The sequence below is a fragment of the Homo sapiens genome, chromosome 8 (assembly GCF_000001405.40).
Source record: "Homo sapiens chromosome 8, GRCh38.p14 Primary Assembly".
In the NCBI taxonomy this organism is placed as follows: domain Eukaryota; kingdom Metazoa; phylum Chordata; class Mammalia; order Primates; family Hominidae; genus Homo; species Homo sapiens.
The window spans coordinates 23,748,877-23,765,225 of record NC_000008.11 but is presented as its reverse complement, the minus strand read 5'-3'; the positions used below and the strand labels follow the sequence as shown (position 1 = coordinate 23,765,225).

The window sequence follows — 16,349 nt, the reverse complement described above, 5'->3', positions numbered from 1 at the left end:
CCCAAATAATATGTGAAATTGTATCAGGGCTGCTGTGCCCAGAAGCCTCACACAGAACGGGGAGGGGCACTCACCAGACCAGGTTGCTGACACTCGATATCTTCTCACCGCCATGGGCTGATTAGAAAGGGATTAAGATTAAGTGGACGGGGGCAACTCCAGTGCATAAGGCTGGAGCGTGACGATGAGAGGAGAGCAGTCAGCTAACAACTAAGCCCTATGATGGGACCCAAGCAGCCAACACACCGAACCCTTAGCGGTGCCTGGGATTCCTGTTCTGCACTTCACCTGTGTTGCTCTCACGTGTGTCCCCACGGCTCCATCATCATTTCCTCTTGGTAGATGGAGACACCAAGTCTCAGAGCTGCTCAATAGGCTGCCCAATCCACCATCATCTGTCTCCTCAAAGGCGTGCTCTGGTCCACAAGGGCTACCAGCTGTAGTTAAGTCATATGTCACAGGTGCAAGCTGGGCTAAGCTGCTGGGCTCCAGAAGAGAGGCAATGAGGTGCTCCCAGGGAGATTGGCTCTCAGGAAGGACGTATTTGGATCTGTCTCTGTTTAAAGTTCTCTGTGGCACTGGTTTTAATGCTGCACAATTCTAGCTGTTGAATAACAGCTCAGAGGACAGGGCAAACAAAAGGAGGAACTATGAATACAGTGGGAGCCCCTGGGAGCTGCAGGAGGAAGTCATGCGCAGTGAGGCCAGGTGTCCACCTGCAGGCACTCTCAGCTCCCCCAGTTGCTCCAGCAGAGGGTGCTGCTCATGGTCCCTGCGTGGACCCCAAACCTGGATCTTCATGCTGCAGCTGCCCTGTTGCCACCAGGCCTCTCTTCCGTCCAGCCTCCCTCCTGCATCTGCCAAGAAAACGAAGGCTCTGGGACAGGACCCGCCTCAGGGTCCCATGTCCTTACCCACAGCCTACCTATGTCCTCCCAATCCACTCCTAGCTTTTCTGTGCCAACCTCAGTGGAATGCATGCCCCTTCCTTCACCCAGGCAGGGCCACCAAAAATGCCCTCCTGAGCCTTGGTTCCTGTTGCTGCTCTAGTTTCGAATCCCACTTAACTCTTTCAGCCCCTAACCTTGCCCATGTTGTACTCAAAAATATCATTTAACATCCCAAGTGTCCATGTCAGATGAACGGATAAATGAGGTCTATACATACAGTGAAATATTATTCAGCTTTAAAAAGGAAGGAAATCCAGGCCAAGTGTGGTGGCTCACACTTGTAATCCCAGCACTTTGGGAGGCCGAGGTGGGCGGATCACTGGAGGTCAGAAGTTTGAGACCAGCCTGGCCAACAGGGTGAAATCCTGTCTCTACTAAAAATACAAAAATTAGCTGGACGTGGTGGTGGGCACCTGTAGTCCCAGCTACTCAGGAGGCTGAGGCAGGAGAATCACTTGAACCTGGGGTGGGGGGCGAGGAATCAGTGAACCAAGAGAGCACCACTGTACCCCAGCCTGGGCGACAGAGTGAGACTGAATCTCAAAAAAAAAAAAATTCCTACAAAAAAATTTAAAAATTAGCTGGGCATGGTGACATACTCCAGTAGTCCCAGCTACTCAGGAAGCTGAGACAGGAGGATCAGCTGAACCTGGGGAGGTCGAGGCTGCAGTGAGCCATGATCATGCCACTGCACTCTATCCTGGACAACAGAGTAATGACCTTGTCTCAAAAAATAAACAAATTTTAAAAAGGAAGGAAATCCTGACGCATTGTGACAGGATGCCATGTGAAATAAGAGTCACAAAAAGACATACCGTATGATTCCATTTGTATGAGGCACCTAGAAGAGTCAAACTCACAGAGACACAAAGCAGAACAGGGCCACCAGGGTCTGGGGGATGGGGAAATGGGAGTTTGTGTTTAATGGGCACAGACTTTCCATTTGGAAAGATGACAAAGTTCTGTAGATGGATGATGGTGGTGGTGGTGGTCACACAATAATGTGAATGTTTTTATTGCCACTGAACTGTACACTAAAAAATGGTTAAAAACGTAAATTTTATGTTACGTATATTTGATCACTTTTTAAAACTTCACATAAAAGTAAAAACCAGTTTCAAAAATGAAATCGCTAAGAAGCCTCTCTCCAGGAAGCCTTCCCTGAACACCCAGGCTTCACTAGATGCTGCCCTGAGCTCTGTCGGTAGCTCTATCATAGCACTTCTCACATTTTACTTAAAATGCCTATTATGTGTCTGTTTGTGTTTCCCAATAGAACATTAAGGCTGCGGGCACAATTTCATCCACTTTCGGGTACTTGGTGCCTGGTCAGCACCTGTCACATACATACGCTCACAATACATGTCCCTTCAATGAAACAACTGAACCCTACATCTGTTGCCTCTCATCCTCTGGTTTTCCATTGTCAAGCTCCTCAAAAATGTCAACCTATACACCCTTTCCTGTTTCTTCAGTTTCCATTCCTTCTTCACCCTCCAGCAATCAAACACCTTATTCAGACAGTGCCCTAGTAATTACTCCACCTTGTAAGCCTCTGCTCCGGTGACTGCTCTTCCAGAATCTTCCACCATCACCCAGTTGTGCCATGTGGTCTGTTCTCCGTGTTCTCACAATCCCTGAGTCACCTCCATGATGTGATTTTCCACACTCTATATCAGTTATTAATTTACATGACACTCCATCAACTGTGAGCTTCTTGGAAGCCAGAAAGGTATCTTATACATCTCAGAGCTCCAGTATCTAGCAAAGAGCTTGCCACATGGTAGATACTTGATAACTGTTTGTTGAATGAATTACTGAGCCCCAAGCACTTAGTTCCTATCATCAGTCACTTCCCTCTTGTGAACATCAGATTAAAAAAAAAAGAAAGGCAGACAGAAAGTGTAGTGCATGACTTAAAAAGGAATGAAAGAAAAAGAAAGAGGGGAGGAAGGAAAAGGGGAAGGAGGATGAAAAGGAGGGGAAGGAGGATGAAAAGGAGGAGAAGGAAGGAAAAATGCAGTGAGGGGCTGTCTACAGGACTAGCTCCTCAAAGTTTTGCTTCAGTTGACTCTAACACAAATCCTTCCAGTGCCATCTCATGCCTCCTGGGGTGTCTTGTTCTGGCAGTTTGATTCATTCTTTATTTTAGGGGGCAGCCAAATACCCCACTTCCCTTAGTAGGCAGAGTCTCTGACAGATCTTGTTGCACCAGGACTAATCTGTACTCCAGAATCATCTTCATCTGTATTTAACTATCCAATTAAATCCAGGCAATCAGCCGTCCTTCCAGATAGGGCTGGGGGCTGTGGTCCCCATGCATTTTGTGAGCTTGCAGCCACTCAGACCAACAGCTGCACAGTGTTTAGTTTAGGTCTTTTTTGCAGTGGTGCCGGGGGTGGTCTTTTCGGTATGTTTTTATGGAAGGGATAGAGGAGGGGAAGCTGGGTAGATGCTGAGTGATCACAGTGTCCTGGAGGATATTGAGCATTGGGGGAAATTACCTTCCTGATGACTCAGAAACAGGAAGTGGTGACCCAGAGCAACGCACGAAGGGGAGGCATGCACATAAGTGATGACATCGTTTCCTATTTTGATGAGTGTGGTCGTATGGGAGTGGAAAAGAGGGGAAGAAAACAATCAAAGGGATAGGACAGTGAATCTCCTGCGTGTCTTTGCTCATATCCCCACATCCCCAGCCCCCATTCCTCCACTGTCATAGGGGCAGCACCTCCGACAGCCTTCCTCTCTGTCAGCCTCTGGCTCTGGTGGAGAAGAGAGAACCTAGCAGAGCTCATTTTGAGTCACCCTGACCAAGGACAGGAGCCAGATGAGCAGGCAGGTGCCCTCAGTCCTGCAGAAGCCAATGTGCTGGAGGTGGGAATCCTCTGAACAGTCAGTGGAAGAAACCAGAATCCTAAGCTTGTGAACTCCTCACCTGCTCCTGGAGCACAGGAGTGGCCCCCGCCACCCCCATTTCACCACTGGGGGGAATGGGTAAAAGGGGTTGGAGGTGGCACAGTGAGCAGCCAGCATTCTGGCTCAGAGTGAGGACAGAGAGACCCAAGAATGTGCAGCAGAGCATCCCAAATGTCACCAGAACATCCAGCAATTCTGGAGGGAGGTCAGAGCACAGACAGAACTAGGTCTATTGTGACTACAGAATCAGGCAAAAACTGAGGGCAAAAAGATCTTCCTTTCCCAAAGTTGGAACCTCGGCCAGGTGAGCATGCCCCCTCTGCCAAGCAAAAACACAGCCCCAGCTCTCTCTTTGCCAGGGTCCCCCAAACTTTCCCTCCACCATAGCAATGAACTCTGTATTAGTTTGTTCTCACGCTAATAAAGACACACCTGAGACTGGCTAATTTATAAAGGAAAGAGGTTTAATGGACTCACAATTCCACATGGCTGGGGAGGCCTCACAAACAAGGCAGAAGACAAAGGAAGAGCAAAGAGACGTCTTACATGATGGCAGGCAAGAGAGCGTGTGCAGGGGAACTACCCTTTATAAAACCATTAGATCTCATGAGATGTATTCACTACCACAAGAACAGTATGGGGGAAACTGTCCTCATAATTCAATTATCTCCACTTGGCCCCACCCTTGACACGTGGGGATTATTACAATTCAAGGTGAGATTTCAGTGAGGACACAGACACACCACATCAAGCTCCTCCATCCCAAGAATTCTCTCTTTAGAAGTCACTCTGGTTGCACAGGCTTATCGCCCACCCCAGGACCCCCCAGGTGGGAGAGCCCTAGCAGACAGAATATGGGCGACCCATTGGGAAGTTCTTGGAATGTAATTGACATTCCACGTGCGGCAGCCTGCTCCCAGTGTGCTCTCTTTGCAGAAGCTCAGGATGAAACCTGCAGCCCCAGTTGTCAATTTTGTGAAAATTGGTAGATGCATAGAGCACAGCACATCAAGTCCACCAGCATAGATGGTGCCAGGCCCTTGTGTTTGCCCACATTTGTCTCTCTGGCCATCTCCTCTAGGGGAAACCAAACCACCACCATGTTTAGCCAGCCTTCTATGTGAGCAAACCCACGTCAGCCAATTTATCCAACAAGACAGCCAATCTGCAGCTAACCCAATAGGCAACTATTTGGTTCTCTGGGATTTTTTTTTTCATGGAAACTCAAGTTTCTGTGAAACTAAATGGCTACCTGAGCATGTGTGCCCCAAAAGTCACTGTAGAGGGAACAGGAAAATGAAGCATTATATCCAAAGTCTTATCTTTGGAAGGGACTGATGAAAAGTTTGTCCAGTGAGTCTGGGAATGTCCTGGTTCTGGGGTATCACATTGGCTCCCCCTGGTAGCATCATGTGTCCCTCAGCTCTCTAGCCTGCTCCAGCACCTGGTACCTTGGTCCACCCATTCCTTATTGGGGTAGAGTTGAGATGGTGGCTAAAGTGGAGGGAAGACTGGAGGAAAGAGCCACCTTTGAATCACTGGGCATTAAAAGGGGTTCAATGGGACAAGCATAAGGAGAAGGAAAGGGAAGAAAAGGAAACATCTCCCTTGGGTCCAATGGGAAGTGTTTCCCATGTGTTATGAATTTGGTCCACACACTTCTTCTACAAAATATTATTACTGCAGAAACTGAGGCTCAGGGAAGCAGAGTAACCAGCCCTATACATCACAACGAGTCATCAGCTGAGGCAAGGTTTGGCCTGAGGTCCTGAGATGCACTTTCTCTAATTTATCCTGTTGCCTCTGAAGAAAAAGGAAAGAAGTCACAGAGACTGGTGACATGTGAGATGCCAAGAAATACCCTCCCCAGTAGGAGTCTCCGCTGCTTCTATCCCAGAACCTGAAATTGGACCAACCAATCGTCATTCCCTGGATCTTAAAAAGGTTCTGGAGGTTTTGCTCAATTCATCAACACAGAGTAATTCTGTGGGCTTCTGCTATGTAACCAAAAAAATATAGATCCTAATTCTGTAAAGACTGAAAGTAGATTTGTGGTTGCCTAGAGGTGGGGTTAGGTGGAATGGGGAGTGACGACTAATGGATATGAGATTTCCTTCAGGAGTGATGAAAATGTTATAGGTCAAGCACGGTGGCTCATGCCTGTAATCCTAGAACTTTTGCAGGCTGAGGTGGGAGGATCACTTGAGCCCAGGGTTTCGAGACCAGCCTAGGCAACATGGCAAATCCCTGTCTCTACAAAAAAATACAAAAATTAGCCAAGCATCACTGGGTGCAGTGACTCACGCCTATAATCCCAGCGCTTTGGGAGGCGGAGGTGGGTGGATCACCTGAGGTCAGGAGTTCGAAACCAGCCTGACCAACATGGAGAAACCCTGTCTTTACTAAAAATACAAAATCAGCCAGGCACGGTGGCGCACGCCTGTAATCCCAGCTACTCGGGAGGCTGAGGCAGAAGAATCGCTTGAACCTGAGAGGCAGAAGTTGCAGTGAGCTGAGATCACGCCATTGCACTCCAGCCTGGGCAACAAGAGTGAAACTCCATCTCAAAAAAAAAAAAAAAAAAAAAAAAATTAGCCAAGCATCATAGCATGTGCTTGTAGTCCCAGCTACTCTGGAGGATTAAGCCCAGGAGGTCAGGGCTGCAGTGAGCCGTGATAGTGCCACTGCACTTCAGCCTAGGCAACAGAGGAAGACCCTGTCTCAATAAAAAAAAGAAAATGTTCTAAACTTAGATTGTGGTGATGGTTGCACAACTTTGTGGATATATAATTCACATTGCATACTTCCAATGGGCAAATTTGTTGGTATGTGCCTTTTATCTCAATAAAGATGTTTTAAAAGATAGGACCTATTCTTGAGGAGCTTAAAATGTAATTATAGTGAGAAGACCTATGCAAAAAAAAAAAAAAAAAAAAAACAGTATACGCCAAATAGCAAGAGGCACCAAAGGAGTTCAGAAACAAGAAGGATCAGCTCTGATTGTAGTATCACAGAAGGCAGAAATGGTTGTATTTGGATAGATATAAGGGAAAAATCAACATTTCCAGGTTGGAGGAGTATGACCATGGGTGCAGGAGAAGGTGTGAATGCATGAAGCATGCCCAGAAATAGTGAGTGAGCAAACCAATAAAACCCTGTTTGGCATCAGACACAAAGATAACTTCCAATACTGTATCAGCTATCTATTGCTATGTAACAAACACTCCAGAACTCAGTGGCTTAGCAACTATGTATATGTTTGCAATTAAACAATCTACATTAGGCTCAAGTGAATGGCGAATCTCTACTCCATGATAAGTTCGTAGTTCCCCCAGGGCTGAAGAACCCTATGGCCTCACTCATAGTCTGGCATGTCTAGCCAGCTGCAACTAGCTAGAAGCTTGGTGTTCCTCTTCCTTTCCTCATGGCCTTTACTACTCAAGGGCCTTTCTCTCTTCCAAGAACATGCATCCTCAAGGAAGCTGGCCCAGGCTTTCTTGCATGACCTCTCAAGACAGCAAAAGAGCAAAAACAAAAGCTACAGGTCTCTTCCAACCTAGGCCCAACATCACATCCAAGCAAGTCATAACATCAACCAGATTCAGTGAGAAAAGGAACTATACAGGTGTGGATTAAGGGAAGTATGACTTGCTGGGTATCTACCACAAGTACCACTTAGTAAAGTACCTCAGAAGAGCTTCTTGTTCAATGGCCTGGCTGGCTTGAAAGGTATTTACAGGCAGAACATATTTGGGAACATAGGATGGGGAGCTAAGCATAGAGGATATTGAATTCAAAGCTAAGGAGTTTGGATTTCATTCAAGAGTTCTTAGTGGAAATGCAAAAATCCCTAGGAGAGGTGATATCATGAGACTTTATCAGACACCTTAGTAGAAGTTGATCATGTTGGCCAGGAATGGTGGCTCATGCCTATAATCCCAGCACTTTGGGAGACCAAGGTGGGTAGATCACTTGAACCCAGGAGTTCGAGACCAGCCTGGGCAACATGGCAAGATCCTATCTCTACAAAAAATACAAATATTAGCTGGGCACGGTGGTGTATGCATGTAGTCCTAGCTACTCGGGAGGCTGAGGTGGAGGGATCACCCGAGCCAGAGGAGGCCAAGGCTGCAGTGAGCCAAGATCACGCCACTGCACTTCGGCCTGGGTGACAGAGAGAGACCCTGGGAGTAAGGCAGAATAGAATCCTGGGTCTATCTCTGAAGTCCAATCAGCTACAAGGACTATGCATTCCTGTTCCCTAAATCAGACACCACCACCTTTTGATAGAGGACTAGAGGATGATAAGCAGGTTTGCATGCCTGCAGCCCGGGGGACAGGCACATACCATAGATGGTAAGAGACTCTGCTCCTTTATCCACTCTGTCTCTTCAATTCTCCTGTTCTTCTTTCCTCAAGAAACTGTTTGCATCTCCAGATCAGTGGATTGTAACATACTGAAGCTGCAGTCAGAGCTCAGGGAGTGAGAGAAAGGAAAGCCAAGACAGCCAGGACAGAAGCCCGACTATGCTATGGCAATAAACAGCAGAGGGAACACTGAAAATGGCTGGTCCAACCTAACCAATTATTTGAATAACAACTGCTCCTTTTCTGACCATTTCTCTCCTGACTTCACATTCCACTCCACCAAAACTCATAAAGCTAACATGTTAATTAAATTGATTGTGGTAATCATTTCACAGTGTACACATGTATCACAACATTATGTTGTACACCTTAAATACATACAATATTTTTTCTTTTTGAGAACAAGATCTCGCTCTGTTGCCCAGCCTGGAGTGCAGTGGTGCCACCATGGCTCACTGTAGCCTCAACCTCTTCGGTTCAAGTGATCCTCCTGACTCAGCCTCCTGAGTAGCTGGAACTACTCAGTTGTGTGCCACACCATGTCCAGCTAATTTTTTTTTTATTTTTGTAGAGATGGGGTCTCACTCTGTGGCCTAGGCTGATCTTGAACTGCTGGGCTCAAGCAGTCCTCCCACCTCAGCTTCTCATACACAATTTTATTTGTCAATTATACCTCAATAAAACTGGAAGAAAACAGAAAAAACTTAGAATTCTAATTCACAGAGTAGTGTGATTTCAGCTAACTGTGAGTGTGAATGAATATATGTTTGCTAAGAAGGCTCCCTATACCCCAAAGAAATGAATGTGGCCTGGTAGCATTTTAGGTAGAATGGAGAACATTGGTTTGTGATAGATCAGAATTTCCAGATAGATTTGTCTTTGTTTTTTGTTTTTTGTTTATTTATTTATTTATTTATTTATTTGAGATGGAGTCTCGCTCTGGAGTGCAGTACTGTGATCTCAGCTCACTGCAACCTCTGCCTCCCGGGTTCAAGCTATTCTCTTGCCTCGGCCTCCCAAGTAGCTGGGACTACAGGCACATGCCACCATGCCCAGCTAATTTTCGTATTTTTAGTAGAGTCGGGGTTTCACCATGTTGGCCAGGATGGTCTCAATCTCTTGACCTCGTGATCCACCCGCCTCGGCCTCCCAAAGTGCTGGGATTACAGGTGTTAGCCACCGTGCCCAGCCTATATTTGTCTTTCCAAAGAAAAGTTGAACCAGGGAGAGAAAGGAAGGAGGAGAAGATAGGGACGTGACCTCACCTCTTGACACCTCATTCCTCCCTGCCCCCCATCTCAGTCATATCGATGTAACATCAGCCACCAACTGCAGTGACCCACTGTGTATACAGAATGACTGTCCTGTGACAACAAGAGCCATGTGCCATCCACATAAATACGGCATACATCTCATTCCTACTGTAAACCATTGTGAAACATCCAGAGGAGGGGACTGTTTCCAGCAGAAATCACTTCTGACGTCACTCCCCGAGTCTGACAACTGAAACTTTCCAGTGAGACAACAGCAGCTAACTTGGGCCTTTTGAAGCTGCTGAGATGCCAGCAGCTTCAAAAGAAAGGGGTAAAAAGAAAGAAACACTCACACTTGACAAGGAGCACCATCTAGGGGATTTATAAGGCAAAATTTTTCTTCAAGCAAATCCTAGAGCTGGGAGCGTTCAATAGTGAGGACTACATGCTACCTCTGCCTTGGGCCAGGATGGCAGGAACCTAGATCGGAGACATTTAGCCACATCTGACCCCCAAGCCCAGCTCTGGGCATCCATCTGACAATTTGGAGCGCTGCTGAGTGCAGAAAACTGCCTTTCTGGCACTGGAGAAGGGATTCCTGTTTAGAGAGTTGGGGAGAAAGGAAAATGTCTCTAAGCGTACTTCTGTGATTCTGGCAAAGCAAAAACGTCAAGATCCATGTTTCCAAGTCTCCCTAAATGAAGATATTTAATTAGGGTGATTAAGAGTTCCACATTCAAGCAATTGAATTTAGTGTTTTCTCTTGAATTCTAACCTTTCAGTTTTAAAAGGATGCCACTGTTGGCATTATCTGACTTTATTTTGAGATTCTAATCCCCACCTGTACGAGGCAGGGTTCCTTCATTGGGACTGCGGGAATTATGCCTGCCGGCAGTGAGCAGGAAGACGCCTTGCACAGTGAGACCCCCACTCCTCAGCCACTCTCAGCAGCAGGGTCCACAGGGTTAGGGGTCCTGAGGGAGTTAGGGGAGTAGTGAGGGACTCACTCGCTACCTCTCAAGCCTATCTGGGTCCTTAAAAAGGAGACTTCAGAAAAGTCCATTTAATCCAACCCCTCATTTTAGTGACAAGGAAAATTGAGACTCAGACGGATACTATAATGGTAGCTATGCATCCTTTGTCCAAATCCCCAGAATGTCCAATAGCAAGAGTAAACTCTAACTTAAACTATGAGCTTTTGGTGATTGTGACATGTTGATGTAGTTTGATCAATTGTAACAAATGCTCCACTCTAGTGGGGGATGTCCACAGTGGGGGAGGCTGTACATGTGTCAGGGCAGCAGGATATGGGAAACCTCTGTGCCTTTTGTTCAATTTTGCTGTCAATCTAAATACTCTAAAAAGCCTATTTGTCTATTAAAAATTCGTCTATTAAAACGTCTACTCGGCCAGGCACAGTGATGCATGCCTGTAATTCTAGCACTTTGGGAGGCCAAGGCAGGCAGATTGCTTGAACTCAGGAGTTTGAGACCAGCCTGGGCAACATGGCAAAAACCCTTCTCCACTAAAAATGCAAAAATTAGCCAGGTGTGGTAGTGCATACTGTGGTCCCAGCTACTCAGGAGGCTGAGATGGAAGGATCACTTGAGCCCAAGAGGTCAAGTCTGCAGTGAGCCTTTATTGCACTACTGCACTCCAGCCTGGGTGACAGAACAAGACCCTGCCTCAAAAAAAAAAAAAAAGATTTTACTCAAAATTCCCAAGAGAAGGAGGGCATGCCAGGCCATGGGAGTGGGAGGCCATCAGGGTTGGGTCAGGAGGCAGAGGGCTTCCATGTGAAAGAAGAGGCAAGGCAGGGTAAGCAGCTTAGGGCCAGCCAGTTTGAATAATTTCAGTGGGCTCTGGGGCTAGGGGTTGGCCCTAGTCATCTAGTACCTGGCCCTGGGGTAATGAAGACAAGGGAATAGCAGTCCAGAGTGTGAGAGCCAGATACAGAAGGTTGTTGAAGGAATGGGTTCTAGATGGATTGGTCTGTATACAAAAGGTACACTCAAAAGCAAGTTCTTTACCATCTCTGGAAATTAGCTAGCCTTGGAAGGGATAGTCCCTCCAGTGTCAGCAAGGCCCCACATGTCAAAGCATCAGAAACACATGGGTAATATGCTATGGTCGCACAGTGCGCTTAGTGGCACAGACAGGTAGGACCTGGGACTCTCAACCCAGTTCTCTCCTCACTGAAGTTCGCTGCAGTCCCTCCAGCCCAGCCCAGCCTCATCTGCATCCTCTACCATCTTGCAAGCTCAAAACATTATTTCTTAAGGAACTTGCTCATTTGACTCTGAGAGGCTTCTTTCTCTAGTTTATCCTTTAATTTTCTCCTCTTACAGCTACTTATTTTCTAACAACAGAAAATCCTTTTATGCACATTATGCACATAAAGTCACCGTGTCCAACTGGGACTCACACCGTAGGTTACTGGACTTTACCCACTTTCCAGGACTTAGCTAATTAGCACACGAGGCCAACTGCATGAAACGGGCAGGTGTCAGCTCTGTGTTTTCTCTGGGGCTGGACAAGGTTTCTTGCTGCCACAAGGGGCTGTCTGTGGAGGCTCAGCCTGCCTGCCCCATCACAGTTCAAGCGAAGAGTTAGCATCAGGGATGCATTATCTGTAACAAGATGTTTCTTCCCACACAGAGCAAGCCCAGGCCCCGGAAGGAAGGACTCTGAGGTCCAGGCACATAGGCAGGCATGGTCTGAAAGGTGTGAGTCACAGGACTCTGCTACCCAGAGAGGTGAGGCACTTGGTCTCAGCACTTGAGGAGGGGAAACTGGCAAGAATGAGACAGTCACGGAGGACCCCACCAGGTGATCAGAACAGGAACCCAAGGGGACGTAGCTCTTTGTGCAGGTACAAATCCCTGGCAACCAGCACAGGCCTGAGCAGGGACTCAGTGAATATGGAATGAATAAAGGAACCAATGACAAAAATATACTGGGTGCATGGCAAAGGTTCCAGCTGTGGAACTTGGAAAAAGAACCTTGTTATAAGGCCAAGTTCATGTATCAAATATAAGAGTGCAGGGGGAGCTGTGGGAAATAACAAGGCAGAGGTCTGTGGCTATAGTGGCAAAAAGAGTGACTCAACACTACATCGCACTTTAGTGTGTGTGTGTGTGTCTGTGTGTGTGTCTGTGTGTGGATTTGGGTCTGGAAGTAGCAGAACTGTTACAGAGCTGAGCCAGTGTAGACTACTCCTGCCTCGATTCAAAGTTGGCCTGGAAACTGGTGTGGAAGCTGAGCTGCGGGGGAGGTAAATCAGTGGCCTGCTCTGTAGAAACACAGTAATAGGGGAAACCAGGCAGGATCAGGGTTGAGTTAGGGTTAGGACAGGATTAGGGTTATAGTTAGAAAAGGGAAGGCAGCTAATGCAGTAAGCAAAAAAAAAAAAAAAAGAAAGAAAAAAAAAGTAATAGTTTATGCTTCTGACAGCATCAGGAGATTAGAATAATCTTCAGGCTTCAGTGTTCTGGGGCACATTGACCTCCCAAAGCCACCTTTTTCCTATTTTCATGCCTTGCACCAAGAAGAGGCAAATCCCTTCCTTCCTTCCTTCTCAATTCTCAAACCTATGCTACCATCCTCAGTTTGAAAAGAACATTTGATTCTCAATCAACACAAGTTTGAAAGCCCACAGTATCCATGATGCTGCATTCGTGCAACACTGCTTAGTGCAATGTGATCAAAGGGGTAATGTGTAAGCCACCCTTCCCCTTCCCACAGATACACATCAATCCACTTGCACTCAGACATGTACACACAGTTGCATGCATCTGCTCTGGGCACAAGTCATTCCTTCATACGAAAGCATGTAAAGTGGAGTTGACATGTAAAAACACATTCAAAAAGACACTGCAATAAGTCAGACTTTGCATCAGGAAGTAATTTCATGAGAAGGTAAATGTGAAAGATAACATATTTCCCCCACCGCTTCCCATCTTTCCACATATGTGTGATTCTAGCCACACAGATGCTCTGGTTATCATCTTGTATTAAACAATTAGAATCCTGTTCAACCTGTACTAGACACAAAGCTGCTTCCTGCCCCAGAGCAAAGCAGGGTAGAGATCACCTCGGGGATGAGTCTGTCTCAAAAAGAGAAAAGAAGATATTAAAGGTTAAAAGGGAGAATTCCTTAGCAGGGTCCTCTTGTCCGCTTTTCTTCCAAACGTCCCAAGTGAACTGGTACAGGGCCCAGACAGTGAGTAACAGTGGAATCTATTTTGCAAGCCACATCTTTCAAATTCCTTACATTCTCTGCTTCTTTTTTTTTAGACAGAGTCTCGCTGCCACCCAGGCTGGAGTGCAGTGGTGCGATTTTTGGCTCACTGCAACCTCCACCTCCCAGGTTCAAGTGATTTTCCTGCCTCAGCCTCCCAAGTAGCTAGGATTACAGGTGCTCACTACAACGCCGGCTAATTTTTGTATTTTTAATGGAGATAGGGTTTCACCACATTGGCCAGGCTAGTCTCAGACTCCTGACCTCAAGTGATTCACCCACCTCAGCCTCTCAAAGTGTTGGAATTACAGGTGTTAGCCACCATGCCTGGCTTAATTCTCTTTTGCTCTCTATGTAGTGAAATGCATTGTTTCTTTAAAATCTCAGCTGATCCTAGCTGAGAAGAGAGATCTAAAGATGGAGAAGCAAACTCTTGAAGCTGGAGGTTCTACCCAGAGATGATCAACAAAACTTAAAGGGCAAAGTCAAGATTATTTAATCAGCAACTCCTGCTCACTGGAGCTTTCTCCTTTCATGTACAAGGCCTGGAGATTCTGCATTTTGTCTTATTAGAAGAGGTGCCATTCCTATAGAGCTGACTCAGAGGTGTGGGTCAGAGAACTATGAAATTCTTTGAGGCCAGTAATTCACTAACAGGGAAAGGAGAACAAGGAAGGTGAGGAATGGGTGGAGAAGTGGGATGCCTCCCCCATGTGCTTTATCAGGAGGACAAGGGCCCAGGAAGGCACTGGGTCCCCGTATCTGTCCATTCTCACACTGCTATAAAGACACACCCAAGACTGGGTAATTTGTAAACAAAAGAGGCTTAATTGACACAGTTCCGCATGGCTGGGGAGGACTCAGGAAATTTATAATCATGGCAGAAGGTGAAGGGAAAGCAAGGCACATCTTACATGGCAGCAGGGGAGAAAGAGAGGGGGAGAGACAGGGAGGAAGAGGGAGAGGGAGGAAGAGGGAGAGGGAGGAAGAGGGATAGGGAGGAAGAGGGAGAGGGAGGAAGAGGGAGAGGGAGGAAGAGGGAGAGGGAGGAGAGGGAGAGAGAGAGAGAGCACATAGGCGAAACTGCCAAACACTTTTAAAGCACCAGATCTTGTGAGAACTCACTATCACCAGAACAGCATGAGGGAAGGGCCCGCATGACTCAATCACCTCCCACCAGGTCCCTCCCTCAACAGGTGGGGATTACAATTCCAGATGAGGTTTGGGTGGGGACACAGAGTCAAACCACATCAGTACCCAACAAAAGGAACCCTGAAAGGAAGACAGAAAGACTGAAGGTACTATAAGACATTTTCTCAAGGGCTGACCACAACTTGCCATTATCTTAAATTTAGAATCCAATAATCTAATAGTTCATTAGACATTCATCACTTAAGTCTAAGATAAGTCATGCAAATTACTTGGTAAGTTAAAAACATAAAACCTCATCTTCAAAATCTGAGGATACTCACTCTAACCTATCTCCTGGGCTAGATAGTCTAAACTGACTAGGAAAGCTTCTTGACCAGGTGTGGTGGCTAACTCCTGTAATCCCAGCGCTTTGGGAGGCCAGGGTGAGCAGATCATCCTGAGGTCAGGAGTTCAAGACCAGCCTGACCAACATAGTGAAATCCTGTCTCTACTAAAATAAATAAATAAATAAAAATAAAAATAAAAAATAAATAGCGAGGCATGGTGGCACAGGCCGGTAGTCCCAGCTACTCGGGAGGCTGAGGCAGGAGAATTGCTTGAACCCGGGAGGCAGAGGTTGCAGTAAGCCAAGATCACACCACTGCACTCCAGCCTGGGCAACAGAGCGATACTCCATCTCAAAAAAAAAAAAATGACTAGGAAAATGTCTAGATTATCATTTGCACTGAGGATAACCGGAGCACATTCTCCCCCAGGTAAAACTGCAAATTCACTGGAGCAACAGATGAAGGAATGCCAAGAAAAAAATCCCTAATGGTAAGTGATGGAGTATCAGGCTCCAAGAAAGCCAGATGGGGCAGATTTTGAAATAAGAAATAAGAACCTTTATGGTAGCTGATGGTCCCCAAACTTTGCAGGTGAAATCATCTGAGGAGCTTTAAATACTGATGCCTGGCTCCTGCTCCTAGACATTCCAAATTAACTGATGGGCCTGGAGTGTGATCTGGGCATTGGGACTTTTAAAATCTTCCTGGGTGGCTGGATTTGTTTCCTGTGGCTGCTGTAACGAATGACCAAAAATGTGGTGTCTTAAGATAACAGAAATTTATTCTCTCACAGTTCTGGGTGCCAGAAGTCCAAAATCAGTTCTCCCTGGGCTGAAATGACAGTGTTAGAGAGCAGAGCTCCCTCTGCAGGCTCTTGGGGAGAATCCGATTCTTGCCTCTTCCAGCTTCTAGTGGCTTCTGGCTTTCTGTGATGTGTGGCTACATCACTCCAATCTCTGCTTCTGTCTCCAAATCCCCTCCTGCATTTGTGTATTTAATCTCTCTCCACCTCTCTCTTATAAGCACACTTATGGCTGGGCACAGTGGCTCATGCCTGTAATCCCAACTTTTTGGGAGGCTGAGGTGGGTGGATTCCATCGCTTAAGCCTAGGAGTTTGAGACCAGCCTGGCCAACATGGTG

The 16,349-nt window shown here is 46.6% G+C and overlaps 1 long non-coding RNA gene across 1 annotated transcript in view, besides 2 other annotated features; it reads right to left on the bottom strand.

The window, feature by feature from the left end:
- Positions 1–16,349, bottom strand: part of LOC107986930 (uncharacterized) — a 139,865-nt gene that overhangs the window by 37,717 nt on the left and 85,799 nt on the right. The gene's annotated exons all lie outside the window — the stretch shown is intronic.
- Positions 2,944–4,143: an enhancer, noted in NCBI's record as "BRD4-independent group 4 enhancer chr8:23618596-23619795 (GRCh37/hg19 assembly coordinates)". NCBI's record gives its function as "activates an origin of replication core promoter dependent on BRD2, P300/CBP, MED14 and CDK7 cofactors, and independent of BRD4, by STARR-seq in HCT116 cells {active_cell/tissue: HCT116}" and the evidence as "EXISTENCE:reporter gene assay evidence [ECO:0000049][PMID:35650434]".
- Positions 3,356–3,650: an enhancer, noted in NCBI's record as "tiled region #6499; HepG2 Activating non-DNase unmatched - State 22:ReprW, and K562 Activating non-DNase unmatched - State 23:Low". NCBI's record gives its function as "activates a minimal TATA promoter and a strong SV40 promoter by Sharpr-MPRA in HepG2 and K562 cells {active_cell/tissue: HepG2 | K562}" and the evidence as "EXISTENCE:reporter gene assay evidence [ECO:0000049][PMID:27701403]".